Genomic DNA, 17,040 nt, shown 5'->3' on the forward strand with positions numbered 1-17,040 from the left:
CAACAAAATATTACATAGTGTTTTTACTGTGTACTTTTACATAGGGTCGTTTGAGAAAGGATTTAACTAGAAAATCTTCAGAAAGTTAACTGTCATAAACAGTCCTTAATTGATTACTCAATGTGACATAGAATCTAAATTCTATTAATAAATTATGTGCTATTTCCAGATGTTCAGGCCTATGTTTAACATTTTAAAAAATATCTGGGGCCAGGTGCGGTGGCTCACACTTGTAATCCCAGCATTTGGGAGGCCAAGGCAGGAGGGTCACTTGAGCCCGGAAATGTGAGACCAGCCTGGGCAAGACTCCATGTCTACAAAAACAAACAAAAAATTTTTGGCTTATAAAGTTTCTGATTTACTCTATTTTTAAATATCAAACTACTATGATTAAATCCTTGCATACAAGTCATATAAGTATTTTATTCTATTTTTATTTAAGCACTTAGAAGTATTAGGGATTTTACAAGTACTTTACAAATATCAAATTATGATTCTAACAGTTAAGTGAAGACCTTTTCATTTATGAAAATTTTAGTAACTTAGTGAAATATGTATCTTAAAATAAGTACTCATTTTGCAAATGTAACATAAATAACGTGCATATCCTATGGTACATATGATTTCACTGACCAAGTTTCTTCAGCAATTCTCAAGTGTTTCCTAAATACATTAATAGGAAACCCCTATTTAAGCTCAACATTTGGCAGAGTGCCTTGCAAAACAGTAGGTGATCAAAACATATAAGGACGCCTTATACTTACTATTCTATACTGTACTATATGGTTTTCGAGTCCCTACTAACAGCCTGATTTATAACAATGCCCTTTTAGTCTTTTGGTTTAATTTTTGGTTATTATGGCCCACGTACAGGGCCGTAATAACCCGTATGCCAGACTCTGGTTAAGTGTGTTAGCTGCAAAAGAGCTTTCTGCCATCTGGACATAATTATACACTTAAGAGTAATCTTTTCTTGAAGGTGTGACCTGCAGCAGCACCCCATGGCAGATGGCACATTTGCTATCTACCAGCAGAAGGAGAATCAGCAGGCAGATGACTGAAAGCAGCAGTCTAAGAGAAACACAGTGACAGCCACAGATGGAGAGACGCTGACTGGAGACATTAAAATACACTATTTCTAATCTTTTTCCTTTTGAAAACAGACCGGGGATCCAACAAAAAACACAGTAATAGAAACAAAGATTTTATTTTGTGGCATCCTTATAGGCTATAGCAAAAGTATATGCCATAGAAAAATGTAACTTCTTTCAGTCTTTCTGGAACTCTAGAAAGTAGCTTCTGATATACAGATGCTAGACTAAGTATAAGATATTCAGACAACTGTCAGTTTTATAAGATTACAATTGGAAAATAAAACCCAACGAGCAGTTTTTATTTGGGAAAGAAAAAGTTCTAGCTTCCATCCATGTGTCAATATTACTCAAAATTTCTAAATAGGTACTAACCTCTGACCCGTGTTCCTGTAGCATCAGTCCTTTGAATCCCACCAGCCAGCACCATGGCCACAGCAAGCTTTACTAGATACATTCCAAACACTTGAGGGCACAAGCTAGCCAATATTACATTCCTTCCTAGGAAAAGCAGAAAGATCAGAAATCAGCAATAATTTTCAAGAAACCCCAACTGAAATTTCCCTTCCTTTCCTATCTGACCATCCTCATTTAAATATACTCTACTATGTGAAGTGATCAGGAGGTCCAATTCCAAATGACCAACAGGATTAAAGGAGGAAATAACTTTGTTTTGGTTCAAAATGTCCTGTTTTTTTGAGACAGGGTCTCACTCTGTCACCTAGGCTGGAGTGCAGTGGCGTGATCATAGCTCATTGCAGCCTCAAACTCCTGGGCTCAAGCAATCCTTCTGCCTCAGCCTCCTGAGTAGTTGGGACAGCAGGTGTGCAGCACCACGCCCAGCTAATGTTTTTTTTCTTTTTTGGAGCAACGTGGTCTCACTATGTTGCCCAGGCTGGTCTCACTCCTGGGCTCAAGCAATCCTTTCATATCAGCCTCCCAAAGTGCTGGGATTACCACCCAGCACTCATGAGTGGTATGAGCCACCGTATGTACTTTCTATGTGACAATTTCAGTAAAATTACTCCACTGCCTAAATAAAAGGAAGGTATTCAATCTCAGAAATAATGAGTCAGATCATACAAGTCAGTAATCTTTAAATACAGAGGTAGCTGGAGCTCATGAAGCTGCTCCAAAGGTATAAGAAATAAGTAAAAAATCCACCCTCCAAGTCAATTCAGCATTTGCTCTGAGCAGTCTGGTAAATTCTGTTTTCTCTGGAACAAAGTTACAGGGGCATCAAGGCATTAAGAAGATCACTGCACACCACAACCCTAGCAGTGTAAGTATGAGATCTCGAATTCTTCTGATCATGTGCTTTAAATAAAAGAACATCACTGTTTGGGGTTCTGTTTTCAGAAATAACGCACCAAATCTGAGAATCTGCCTATCTCTTCCATGAATAAAGCAGGTATTTCATTCAGTCATTGGCCTAACCAACCTATGGAATTCCAACAAGCCATTCCTGAGCCTTTCCACGACTTATGGCCCTATACACAAAGGCTACTTTTTGTAATGAATCAACATTGATTCAGTGGCAACTAATCTATGATGATGTGGCCTGCGATGGCAGAAATGGTGAAGAAAGAAAATCTTTTAGTAAAAAAGGAACCAGAAGATTTAGTAAATCCAGGAAGTTCATTACTTGCTGAAGGAATCCCTCCCTGTTTGGAGTTAGAAAGCCTGGAGAAAAGGTCAGGAATCCAAGCAGATAAGACTTGACAGCAGGTAGGTAAATTGTGACCAGAATCTAGTGATTACATGTGGAAGGAAAGAAGAAACAGCCCCAACAAACAGGTTCAAGAGTAGGCAAATTGATCTGGGAATTACATAAGCCAAAACTTAGAGCCAATTTTACTGAGTAACATGCTGATGGGAAGCATATCCCTGTGGTAAGAGGACAGGCTCTGGTGTCATGTTTGGATTCAAATCCCAGTGCTATTAATTACCAACTGTCTGACCTTAGGCAAGTTTCTTAACCTCTGCCTCCATTTCTTGTCTGCAAAATGGAGATTATAATGGTATCAAGACAGAATTGTTGAGAATCAAGGGAGTTAGTAAGTATACAACACATTAAATAATAACTGGCATATAGTGGGAACTACTTAACTGTAACTGTTAGCTATTTTATTACCTGTATTATTTGTGCATCTTTCTGATCTAAAGATTTCCTCACACTGTGGTCAACACAAAAGACTACAAAGGTAGGACTGGGGTCCCAGAGAGAAGCAAAAAGGAAGGGCCAAATGTGTTGTCTAAGTTGAAAAGCTTGATTCCTTAGATCATGGCAGCAGAAGATCTCATGGCTATATCATGGAAGAAAATGCATTAGCACCAGTACTACCCCCATCCTCACCTCCCTCCCAAATTTCTAGTTCTAGACCATGTCAATAGTGTGGCAAAGGCCTAGTTATCTACTCTTGTGTGGCCCTCAGTTATCTCAATGAAGAGAACTTAGTAGGCCCTTAGTAATCTCAGAATTAAGATAAGTCAGTGACCCCCAAAGAGGGTTCAGATGGCCCAAAACACTCCAACCCTTACATCTGGGTTTCTAACATCTAAGCACCAGGGTCAAGGAATCCCTCAGGTGACAGCAGATCAGAATAAGGCCCCTAGGTTCATCCTAGCCAGTACCCACAGGATCAGGTCTTAAGCAAGTCAACCTCCAAGTGCTGATCAGTGAAGCATTCTCCAGCTTTAGACCAGCAAAATGAAGATGTTCTGTTGGATACAGCTTCCCAACTTCACCTCTCCTCCCTCCAACACACTCACCAACACTCTGAAATGGAGGAATACCAGTACACTGGTGCTGGTCCATAGGAAACTGAGAATCCATTCATACTAACAAGAGAAACACTGCCTTATTTTCTTGCTATCTTCCTACTTATATTTCTCACAAGACTATTATATTTACTTCTGCCTTTTATCCAATAAATGGCTCATGCAACAGTAGCCTAATTAAAACAAGACAGATTCTTTAATTGCCAGCACAAAGCACGTCTGAAGATCTAGTTAGAGTACCATATGATGGCCTTCCCTTCATTGTTAAGAGGTAGAACTGAGCTGTGACACTGTAATAAATAAATAAATAACAGTGGTCCAAGGAAGAGTTACAAATTTTTATAAGGATAGAATCCTAAGAAACCATTTTCAGGCTGTTCAGGCTGGGCACAGTGTAATCTCAGCACTTTGGGAGACGGAAGTGTGAGGATCGCTTGAGCCTAGGAGTTCAAGACCAGCCTGGGAAACATAGCATAGTGAGAACCCTGTCTACTTTAAAAAAAAAAAAAGAAACCATTTTAATTTTAAAAATCATTTAAAAATGTATGATTCTTAAAGTGCCTGCTTCATAAATCTATAATGTAGAGAACTTTTGCTTCTTTCAATACAGATCAGAAAAAAGAAAGATCAGGAACTACTAATGTGCTATACATTTACACACACACACAAAAAAAAAAGAAAAAAGAAAAAATCCCATAAAATAAAACTATCCCTATTTAGGGAAATGGAAGCATTATTATTATTATTATTATTATTATTATTATTATTATTATTATGAGACAGAGTCTCACTCTGTCGCCCAGGCTGGTCTGCAGTGGCGCGATCTTGGCTCATTGCAACCTCTGCCTCCCGGGCTCAAGTGATTCTCCTGTCTCACCCTCACAAGTTGCTGGGACTACAGGTGCACGCCACCACACCTGGCTAATTTTTGTATTTTTAATAGAGACAACGCCACCACACCTGGCTAATTTTTGTATTTTTAATAGAGACAGGGTTTCACCATGTTGGCCAGGCTGGTTTCAAACTCCTGACCTCAAGTGACCCACCCACCTTGGCCTCTCCAAGTGCTGGGATTACAGGCGTGAGCCACCATGCCCAGCTAGAAGCCTTATTTTTTAAAATAATATCTATCTAATTTAGCATGTGATTTAAGAATAAAGTAATCAATATCTCTTAGATTTGAGGGGAGTGTTATTAGAAACGTCTATTACTGGCTTCAGTTTATTTTTCTCAAAAGATGTCTCCATGGAGAAATGAAAACAGGCACTTGAAGATTTAATTGGTGCTTTACACACTTGAGATTTTTTAATAAAATACACTACAAACCCAATGGCTGTGATGTTTTATTCTATGTAATTACACCTGAATGTCACAGTCAAAATTTTTGCTTGTGATGACAAAGCTTATCGTCTGCATCTTCTCTCATCTTTTTCCTAGTTATTCCCTGTTTTAAAATCTTCAGCCAAAATAGTGTAGAGTTAGATCTTTATTATTGAAAATACATCAAAGAAAAACAATGGCTTTAATAGGATGAGGGTTCATAAAAGGATGAGTTTTGCCTTTTTAAAGAACTATATTTTTAATTGATATGATAGGAAACTCTGAAATTGTTTTGGCAGTGTATAAGGTGTTTAAAATAATAGTTAGAAATGAAATATCTCCAGGCAGGTTGCTAAATAGAAGAGTATGGCAGAAAAAGGCTTCAAAGGGAGACTATAGCTAGAGGTAATGACTAATCCTACCCTTTAAACTCAGTCATTGAGTTATGCGGCATATAAGACTGTCAAATCACAGACATCATATTTAACCACTGAATGTAATACCATTAATAATAATCAGTTTTAGCCCTTAAACACAAACCTGCAAAGGGATCGCTCTTATAGTATTCCCAAAAATCTTCGAATTCCTTTTGGACCTCCTCATCCATGATGATCCCTGAGGACTGCTCATTATTTACTTGGATGTAATTTGCTTTCAGGACTATCTCCACTTCACAGCGCACATCTTGCTGAAAGGGCTTCCACCGTTGCATTACAATCCCGTAAATAGTGAGGTCATCACCTAGGAAAAAGCATCAAGTGAGTCCAGCAGTAGCATCCTGCATGCTGAGCACAGACTCAAAATGACAAAGGACCAGAAATTAGAAATAAACCACTCCCTTACTAGAGTTTACAATATGTACACTCATCCAGAAAACAATTCAGGGGCAGAATAGCACCCCAGATTCTTGACTGTTGTCCCCCACAGTCATGTATCTGTAAAGTGAAAAGCTGAAGTCAGTATTTCCTATTTTTCATAACCTGCTACATGATAATCCTACAAAATTATTACTTTTCACTGGGAAAATAGTTTACTGGATGATTCATTCATCACAGTTACATTGGATGAAATGTTCATCCTCTGAGTCTCTAACCATTTAGCTCTCATTTAGAGAAGAGATGTGGGAACTGCAGCCAGAAGGTTAAACTATAATTTGGAGTCAGGAAAAGAGATAACCTTGTGATGACTGGCAGGTAGTTTGGGTTTCTTACATGTTCATTTTTACTTAACTCATTTGCTAATATTTTACTCACTGCCCCCCCACATCTTTTTTAGTGAACCAAAGAAACAATGAACTAAGAAATGAATAAATGCCTGTTATGCTTCAAAGTTCCTTCCCACAAAATATAAAAGCACAAGATACAATCCTGCTTGTTCCTTGCTGATGGTTCTCTCCTACCTGAGGAAACCCTCCCACCATTCCTGGTAGGCAGAAGCAACTTTTATAGATTTTCCTAAGAGGCCCTGGGTAGTTTATAGGCACACTCGCCAAACACTGCCATCTGTACTTGTTACGACATACAATGCAATGCATCAGTTAACAAGTATATACAAATGTTTGGCCTTCCATATTTTGGTACTGGAGAAAGTGGGCCAAAAACAAACATGAAAAAAATCATAATCCTGGTCCCCCCAAATTTTAATCTTGTTGAACACAGGGTGTTGGATGTGCCCCAACCCCAATTCTGGTATTTATATTTTGCATAATAAACACTGTCTCAGAACTAACAGGCAATTCTTCATTTCCAAGCCTTTGTGCCAATTATATGATATGTGCTGATGAAAAATGCCTTTCACTCTCTAAATTTCAATGAGTAATCTGCATAGCTTTTGATTTCCTAAAGGAAAATGCTAAATTCATGGAACTGGTGGTGCCAATCCACAGAATAGAAGGCACATTTCTAGTTTAAGGCAACTTCATACTACATAGTTACAAACACATTAAGTAAGTGCTTTACAAGTTTCCAAGATCTTTCCTAAGCCACTACTTAATGATTTTCAAACCCAATCAGGAATGATGATCATTTACTATATTGTCTGACCCCAAATTTCTAGGTAAAAATGATTGGGGGCAACTTTACATAAGGACATGGAACAATTCTCTATTATGGTCATTTTAATGGATTATGTTTAGGTTGTTTCTAAACTAGTTAAATGAGGAACTTAATGTTTAGATATATGACCCGTAAGTAATAATCTAATGTCAATAAGCAGTGATTATGTGGAAAATACAGAGCACTGAAGCATGGCCAAGAGTACTGACCTCATCAGATTTGGATTTAAATCCCAGCTCCACTGCCCATAGGCTACGTGACCTTGGGCAAATTACCTACCTTTCCTAAGCCTGTTTCTTGAACTACAAAATGTGAATGATTATATTTACATCACAGTACTATAATGAGAATTAGATCGGATAATGTACGTAAATTACTTAATGCAGTATCTAGAAGACGGCAAGTGCTCAGTAAATATTAGCTCTTCTTATACTAAACCTACCTTACATTTGTAAAGTAATTAATACCTTTAAAAGCCCTTCAATATATACGTGTTTTCTTTACTCAAATAATTACTGAATGGCAGATTCATATAATCACCAGAACAATTGTGAGGTATACATGATAGTCCAAGACAACAGATATTCACCTTAAACTTCTGTATTTTTCAAAACTAATGTTATAAGCAATGTTATTTTCAGGAAGCTAAAATTCTTACTTTTCTACAATCCAGTCTCTCTGTGCCCCTATATCATCTGCGGCATCTTTACTACTGTAGCCATTGCCAGTCAGACCCATCTCTCGGATCTCCTGTGGCACTGACATTTACCAGCACACACCCTCCAACTTCATTACTCTGCATGTGCCAAAGTGGGGTTCCTAACTAGATCGTAAATTCCTGAAGGGCAAGGATTATATACTATTTGTCTTTTGATTCCCACAGAGGTTTATAGCTAATGATACATGAAAAAATAGCTGTTGATAGATTGCTTCTATCCATCCTTCATTATTAATGACATTTGAAAGAAAAACAACTTAAGACTTATTTCCAGTACAGAAAGAATTCAGTTTAGATGAACTGCATGAAAAGATCTTATTCTCAATTGATGGATATTTTCATGTTCAGGCTGAGCTTATATAAGAACTGCATTGCTGAGACAGATATTACAGATTTAGGTTAAAATCTAGTCCTATATGAGCAAGGTATTTTGACATATTCTGGGGTTGCTTAGCAGGCAATCCATAATCAAAGCTGTTATCTCATTAGTATACTATTTACACAACTGTACGTTAATATACGTCGGCTATCTGAAACCTAGAAGAGGTCCCTCACCAGAATCCGAAGACACTGGCATCCTGATCTCCAACCTCCAGCCTCCAAAACTGTGAGAAATAAATATTTGTTGTTGAACCCACCTAGTCTATGGTGATTTGTTAGAGCAGCCTGATATAGTTTGGATAATTGTCCCCATTCAAATCTCATGTTGAGATATAATCCCTAGTATTGGAGGAGATGCCTGGTAGGAGGTGTCTGGATCATGCAGGTGGATCCCTCATGAATGGCTTGGGCCACCCTTTTGGTGATAAAGGAGCTCTCACTCTGAGTTTGAATGAGCTCTGTTCATTTAAATGTGTGTGGCACCTCCTCCCTCCCCACTCTTGCTCCTGCTTTTACCATGTCATGTGCCTGCTCCCCCTCTCCCTTCTGCCATGATTGTAAACTTCCTGATGCCTCAGAAGAAGCTGAGCCTATGTCTGCACCATGCTTCCTGTACAGCCTGTGGAACTGTGAGCCAATTAAACCTCTTTTCTTTATAAATTGCCCCGTCCCAGGTATTTCTTTATAGCAACGCAAGAATGGACTAACAGCCCAAAATGACTAAAACATCACCCTTCCACAAATACTTTTAAGTTTGATTTCTTCTTAGTCTCCCCAGTGAGGAGAGGGAACATGATGAGTTGACAGGGACAAAGGAGAACTCAGGACCAGTCTGGTTAGCCTAAAGAGTAAAGCATAAGCTCAGAATGACACTGGAACAATCAGGCTTTCGGAACTCTCAGATTTCCAGAACAGTTCTGAGGCTCAGAAAGTCTTTAAATTGCCTGGAACATTGCAGATTATTATCCAGATCAACTGCCACTGTAGGGCCTAAATCCCTAACAATGTACTGTATATGCTGTGCTTGATTGTCTATGAGAAAAAGAACTCATCACCATCTAAGGCCCATGTTAGACACCTCTAATTATTAGGTATTGAGTCAAAATCTACCTCCTTGTGGCTTACCCCACTGAAACCCAACAGCAACTTCTGTAATTACAATTCTATTTCTATGTGACAGTCTTCTAACTATTGAAAGTTGGCTGTCATGTCCTTCCTCAGGGTTCTCCATGCTAACCATGTATAGTTCTTCATTGAGTATGGGTTTCAAGTACCCTCCCAATTCAGGTATCGGCCAATGAAAACATTGAGGACCCTCAGAAGACAGCAGACTACAATCAGTGACTCCAATCACGGTGTCACCAGCACAGAGCAGAGAGGAATGATGTCCTTTCTTCTAGGCACCAATAAGACACGCAGCAGCATTTAACAGAGTCACATTCTCTAATTCATTTTATAAAAATACCCATTAAATTCACTACATTTTTTAAAGTTCCTGCTGTTAAGCTATAGTGCACTGAAAAGAGCCTTAAATTAGACATCAGTGGTTCTGGATTCATGTTCCAGTTATGCCACTTAACTCTCTAAGTGACCTTAGACAAGTCAGGTTCTTCATTCATAAAACAAGCACCTGGACTAGCTGCTGTTGTATAGATCTAGCCCAGCTCTCTTCCTGCTATCACTTCCCACCTGCCAGTTTCTAATCTCAAGGTGAGCAATTACAGCTCTACATTTCCCTTGCCAGTGATCTTGGGAAAATAAAAAGTGGCTTTTCCTAATCAATACTTTAGGACTACCTACACAAGCTAAAAAAAAATTCCCCTCTTCTTACCAGATTTGCAACTATCCACTAAGTCATCTTCCAGAATAACCTTCATAGATCGTGGAATACTTCCAACAGATAGCCTTTGAACCTAGCAAAGAAAAGAAAACAGATTCTGAGTATGCTTAAATACATGTTAAGTATCCAGAAGTCTAGCAGTACTTGAAATTACTATTTTTATTTCTCTGGTATATCATACGATTTAATTATAATGGGGATTTAAGTAATTTTTCTTGAAAACTATGTCTACTATCAATTTAAGAATTCACTAAATAAAATACACATATGGAAAATATCTCCAAATATGATCTATATAATCTACCTTGCGGGTGGTCAAAGTAAACGTATGCTCCAACTACTAAATTTAATAACAAAGTTAACTTTATCTAGAAAAGAGGGGTATTTCTTTCCTGATCGCTAATCAAAAGACCTGGGACAAATCACCCAGTCCCTATGATTACTCCTTAGTAACAGAACCCTAGTTTTATTCCATGTGGACATGCGCCTAATACAAAGACTGTATTTCCCAGGCTCCCTTGAACATTGAACATAGGTATGGTCATATGATAGAACTCTGACCAATGAGATATCATAAGCAGACAATGCAAGAGACTTCTTAAGTGGAGAATTGGTTAGGTGGTAGGCACTTTTGCCTATTGTTCTCTGACTACAACACACATGTGATGGAGTTGTAGCCAGCATCCTGGCCCACAGCCAATCATCAGAAGAGAAGCCATGTATTAAGAATGGTTGAGGCCGGGTGTGGTGGCTCACATCTGTAATCCCAGCACTTTGGGAGGCCGAGGTGGGTGGATCACCTGAGGTTAGAGGGTTTGAGACCAGTCTGACCAACATCGTGAAACCCTGTCTCTACTAAAAATACAGAATTAGCCAGGCGAGGTGGCACACGCCCGTAATCCCAGCTACTCGGGAGGCTAAGACAGGAGAAATGCTTGAACCCAGGAGGTAGAGGTTACAGTGAGTCAAGATCACACCATTGCACTCCAGCCTGGGCAACAGTGAAACTCCATCTCAAAAAAAAAAAAAAAAAAAAAAAGCAAAGAAAAGAATGGTTGAATAGAAAGACAGGAGTCTGAGTTCTCAACAGTGAACTAGCCTTGAACTGCCTATCTCTTAATTATTTTAGGTAAGAATAAACCTTTGTGTTTAAGCTGCGAGCAAATGAAAATCAGGCTCACTCTTACTTGTTAAAGAGTGTTTACAAATACTTCATTTAGCACAGCAAATAAGAGTGGGTCCAAACTCCATATCTTGTTCACTCCAATGTGATTTTTTTTTTTTTTCAGAGACAGGGTCTCGCTCTGTCAACCAGGCTAGAATGCAGATGCATGATCCATAGCTCACTGCCACCCAGAACTCCTTGGTTCAAGTGATCTTCCTGCCTCAGCTTCCTGAGTAGCTGCGATTATAAGCACAAGCCACCATGCCTGGCCACTCCAATGTTTAACCATTTAAGCATTAATTAATCTTCTATCCCTTAGCTAAGAACATTAATTTTCTTCTATTCTTCAGTTAAGAACAGCTAGGGTGGACTTCTTAAATATTCACTTCTTTAATTTTAATATAATTAAGTCATTTCACTACTTTCTTGTCAATGTTCCACCTAAAAAGGATGATTGCATGGTTTCTAAAGACTATATTCAGATATATGTGGAACAGTTTCGAGCTTGATCTTCCACAAAGTGACAACACAAGTACATTTGTATCCATTCTGTGTTCCCTAATCCTCCCAATGTGCCCATAGCTGAAAAACACTTCTTCAAATTTATTTATCTCGTTTATGTGATTATTTACCTGTTCCTGAATTTTGATTTCCTGGTAATCTCTACACCTGGTTGGAGACGAAGACAAGCCTGAGAGGCAAGTGAATTTAGAGGAATCACAGCTCTCCAAGCTGGGACACGAGGATGGCCGGCAAAAGGTGTAATACTGCTCAAAGTCAGCCTTGATCACAAACACATGCTTGCATTTGTTACACATGTAATCCCGCTCAAACTCCAGAACCTTCACCAGACTTGTTCGAATCACTGTCCCAGTGACAGATAAAAAGTGTCCCACATCCTTGGTTTTAGGTATGTGTTCCCTCACCAGCTCAGGACAGACAGGCAAACCTGATGGAGAAAACAAAAAAACAGCATCAACTTCAATCTTGAGATTTGACTCCAAGGGATATATTCTTCTCCTATTTCCTGAAAGATAAATTTTAATTTCAGGGGGAAAAAAAAGATTGTGTTTTACTAAGAAAAAATCAGATCATCAACTCTATTAAGAAAATATAAAGAATTATTGCAAATAACAGTTATCAGTAGAGTTTTTTTTTAATCCAGATACTGCACAATGAGTAGACCATGTTTTAAAGCAAATAGCTAGAAGTTATAATAACCAGGATTTTAAAAAGGACTTATTCTCACAAGAGGGCTATCTCAGTAGGATCTAAAGTATATAATTTTAACGGCATTTAACAAAAAATATATTGCCACTTGCCACAGATAAAATCAACTGATGATTATTTTAGTAAATCACGCAGCAGACCGATAAAGAGATGGTAGCATGACGACCACAGAGTTCCACAGCGCTAGAAAGTTACTTTTTCAGTCAGACTCAGAATTTATTAATACATAAATATGACAGTGTTTTTGAGCCCTGACTTACCTAGCGGTTTACCCGCAGCATCACCTTATCCTATAAAAGCCTTGTGTTTTTCAACATTAAAAAACAGGCAACAGAAAAGGTGCAAAATGCCAAAGAAAATTCTTACTCAGGCTGGGCACCGTGGCTCACACTTGGGAAGCCAAGGTAGGAGAACCGCTGGGGCCCAGGAGTTCAAGACTAGCCTGGGCAACATAGTGGGACCCCATCCCTATAAAAAATTAAAAAATCAGCTGGGCATGGTGGTGCATGCCTATAGCCCCAGCAACTCGGTAGGGCTGAAGTGGGAGGATCTCTTGAGCCCAGGGGGTCAAGGCTACAGTAACCATGGTCACTCCACTGAACTCCAGTTTGGGGAACAGAGGAAGACCCTGTCCAAAAAAAAAGAAAGACAGGGAGGGAGGAAGGAAGGAGGGAAGGAGAAAGAGAAAAAGAGGGGGAAAAGGGGAGAGGAGGGGAGGAGGAAAATCTTATGTGGAAATTCCCTTTTTCTCATGTTTGGCTACAATGCACCATTGGGGTGGAAAGATGCTGGCTATAAAGGCTAATTCCTAACAGGTTTATTGAAATAGCAACTGTTATGCCGGTTCATGTCTCCTGTCTTGTCCTCAGTATTTAGCGGTTCAAAAACCAGGTAGGTACGCCTACTGAAGGCCCATCCATCAGATTGTCCAGCCCATGAGAAATGCCATAATAGGAATCATTATACCTTAAGTTTCTATGGTCAGCATATTTTCTCCTAGTTGATACATCTATTCTGAAAGCCAATCAGAAGGTAGTTTAGGAAGTATGAGGGGAAAAAGCAAATTAGAGTAACTGAATGTTTAAGGTGCCAGGCTATGTTAACCTACTGTTACAGGTTACAAGTCTACAGATAGACTTGAATTTTCTCTGTTGGTTGGCTGAAATTCTCTCTCCATACACTGTAGAGTGTATAGACAAACAAGGTGGCCATTGCCAACATTTGCCCCTATGACTCTTTTTTCTATGCTTCTAAGACTGACTTGCCCATTTTCTAATGAACATATTCATTATTTACATTAATTCAGATTGCATCACATTTTGCCATTAAGGGAGACACACTTTTCGTTCATATCCTAGAATGTTAAAAAACAAGAAACAGCCCAGAAATCTCTCTCTCTTGTTTACCTGGCCTTAACTGGAATATATATTGTAATACATCTTAACACTGCTTGTAGATTCTCAGTTACATTTATTTTGCTCCCTACATGAATACTTTAAAAAAAATATGAATACTTAAAAAAAAGCAAGATATAATTCACATGCCATAAAATTTACCCTATAAAGTAGACAATTCAGTGGTAATTAGTATATTCACAATATTGTATAACCATCACCACTAATTCCAGAATATTTTCATAATTTCAAAAAGAAACCCTGTACCCAGTAGCAGTCACTCCCCATTCTTCCATAACCCTAGCTGCTGGCAACCATTGATCTACTTTTGGTCTTCATGAATTTACCTATTCTGGAAATTTCACACGTAGATGCTCCGTGACTTACAATGGGGCTACATCTCAATAAACCCATCGTAAATTGAAAATGTTGTAAGTTGAAAGTGCATTTAGTACACCTAACCCACTGAACATCATAGCTTAGCCTACCTAGCCTACCTTGAACATACTCAGAATACTAACATTAGCCTACAGTTGGGCAAAATAATCTAACACAAGGCCTATTTTATAATTAAGTGTTGACTATTTCATGTTATTTATTGAATACTACACTAAAAGTGACAAACAGAATAATTTATGGGTGCTCAAAGTATAATTTCTACTGAATCACTTTCGCATACTCATAAAGTCAAAAAATGTAAGTCAGGGATATCTGAACAAAATCATACAATATGTGGTCTTTTGAATCTGGCTTTATTTACTTAGAATAATGTTTTCAAGATTCATTCCTGTTGTAACATATACAGTACTTCACTCTTTTTATGACTAAATAATATTCCACTGTTTAGATATACCGTATTTTGTTTATTCATTTATTAGTTGATGGACATTTAGGTTGTTTCCACTTTTTGGCTATTATGAATAATGCAACTACAAACATTTGTATGCAAATTCTTGTTTGAACAGTTTTCGATTATCTTGGGCATACAGCTAAGGAGTAGAACTGCTGGGTCACATGGTTATTAAAATAATTTTTTTAAATAATTTTATTTTTATGTTTGCAAACAGTCACTAAGTACTCTCTATTGTACATATACAGAAGGATACTCGAGTGGGAAATATGATAATTAACCCAATTTGCTTCTCGAAATATAAACAGAATGTACCAACAATTACTTCTACGAAGGAAGGTAAAAAGGAGAATAGAAAAAAAATAGGTAAAGAAAATTTGCTTTAACAAAAATTCTTTGGGTTTCTGAAATATTCATTCTCTCTTCCTTGGCCCTAAAGAAATATCACTTTTGCCTCCCATTTCTAGTCCCCTCATCTCAGTTCTGCTTCAGATGCAAATTGATTGTTCAGTTTAAATTATATAGTCAGTATATTAAAACAAGAAAAACTAAGATCAGGAGAACCACATTACAGAAAATGTGGTGTTACTCTGACGTTATGCATGATTGAAGAATGCCCAATGAGATTACAGACTGCCTAGCATAATTTAGAAAAGTCTTTGGATTTTTGGCTGGACGTGGTGGCTCATGCCTGTAATCCCAGCACTTTGGGAGGCCGAGGCAGGTGGATCACCTGAGGTTGGGAGTTTGAGACCAGCCTGACCAACATGGAGAAACCCCATCTCTACTAAAAATACAAATAATTAGCCAGGTGTGGTGGTGCATGCCTGTAATCCCAGCTACTCGGGAGGGTGAGGCAAGAGAATCGCTTGAACCTGGGAGGCGGAGGTTGCAGTGAGCCGAGATCGTGCCACTGTACTCCAGACTGGGCAACAAGAGCAAAACTCTTGTCTCAAAAAAAAAAAAGCAAGAAAAGAAAGAGAAGTCTTTAGATTTTCAATGTGATGAAGTGATGTATCAATGAAGTCTTACATAATATAAACTGTATAGACAGACACTTGTTATTTTTGGCTTAAAAACAAATTCTGGTTTAACAACAAAGCTGTGTAATTTAATTGTAGTTTTATTCCTAGAAAGCTATCTTTAATTTGATAGTGTTTCTTACTGTAAATAGCATCTTAGAATGGAAGAATAAAACACTATATGCCCCATTGCTTCTAGAGTAACCTGAGCAATACATAATGAAGGCCAAATCTCCTTTGCTTTTACCCTTCCATGGCTTGCCACAGATCTAAGAATAAGGTACCAAATCTGGACTGGACTATAGGGCCTTTTGTGACTGGCTTCCTGTTCTATCAAGACTTCTGCGCACTTTTTCACATACAGTGCTCCCTTTGTCTCAGTGCTCTCCTCTTCACTCTGCTCCTCAAAAATGCCCACACTAAGAAGCAATGCAGTGGTTAAGAATACAGACTCAGGCCAGGCATGGTGGCTCATGCTTGTAATCCCAGAACTGGGGAGGCTGAGGTGGGCGGATCACCTGAGGTCAAGAGTTCGAAACCAGGCTGGCCAACATCGTGAAACCCTGTCTCTACTAAAAATACAAAAATTAGCCGGGTGTGGTGGCACACGCCTGTAATCCCAGCTACTCGGGAGGCTGAGGCAGGAGAATCGCTTGAACCTGGGAGGCAGAGGTTGCAGTGAACCGAGATTGCACCTGTGCACTCCGGCTTGGGAAACAGAGTGAGACTCCATCTCAAAAAAACAAAGAATACAGACTCAAGCTAGAATGCTTAGGTTTGAGTCACAACTCTGTCACTTACTAGCTGTGTGACTTTGGCTAAGTTGTAACCTCTCAGATTTCTCATCTATAAAATAACAACAGAACCTATCACACAGGGTAATAAGAAAACTAGAAGAATTCATAGCTTATACCTGTAATCCCAGTACTTTGGGAGGCTGAAGCAGAAGGATCACTTGAGGCTAGGAGTTCAAGACCAGCCTGAGCAACACAGAGACCCCACCTCTACAAAAAAAAAAAAAAATTTAAATAGCTGAGTGTGGTGGCACATGCCTGTAGTCCCAGCTACCCAGGAGGCTGAGGTGGGAGGATCGCTTGAGCCCAGAAGTTAGAGACTGCAGTGAGCTATGATTGTTGTGCAACTGCATTCCAGCCTGGGCAACAGAGTGAGACCCTGTCTCAAAAAAAAAAAAAG

The 17,040-nt window shown here is 38.8% G+C and overlaps 1 protein-coding gene across 21 annotated transcripts in view; it reads right to left on the reverse strand.

The window, feature by feature from the left end:
- The window catches only part of MCM9 (minichromosome maintenance 9 homologous recombination repair factor), a 121,705-nt gene that overhangs the window by 98,374 nt on the left and 6,291 nt on the right, over positions 1 to 17,040 (reverse strand). For 10 of the 21 annotated variants that reach the window (NR_165493.1, NM_001378364.1, NM_001378360.1 and 7 more), the window contains 4 exons: positions 11,983 to 12,299; positions 10,177 to 10,258; positions 5,733 to 5,933; positions 1,467 to 1,592 (listed from right to left, as the gene is read on the reverse strand). Coding sequence is in view for 19 of the 21 variants with exons in the window: in NM_001378364.1 (NP_001365293.1) it covers positions 1,467 to 1,592; positions 5,733 to 5,933; positions 10,177 to 10,258; positions 11,983 to 12,299 (726 nt within the window). In the remaining 2 variants the exon portion in view is untranslated. Of the gene's footprint in view, positions 1 to 1,466; positions 1,593 to 5,340; positions 5,934 to 6,035; positions 6,128 to 8,519; positions 8,570 to 10,176; positions 10,259 to 11,982; positions 12,300 to 16,759; positions 16,851 to 17,040 lie in introns of those variants that run through there. The other 11 variants (NM_001378367.1, NM_001378362.1, NM_001378361.1 and 8 more) reach the window with 7 other exon arrangements.

The sequence above is a fragment of the Homo sapiens genome, chromosome 6, assembly GCF_000001405.40.
Source record: "Homo sapiens chromosome 6, GRCh38.p14 Primary Assembly".
Lineage (NCBI taxonomy): Eukaryota > Metazoa > Chordata > Mammalia > Primates > Hominidae > Homo > Homo sapiens.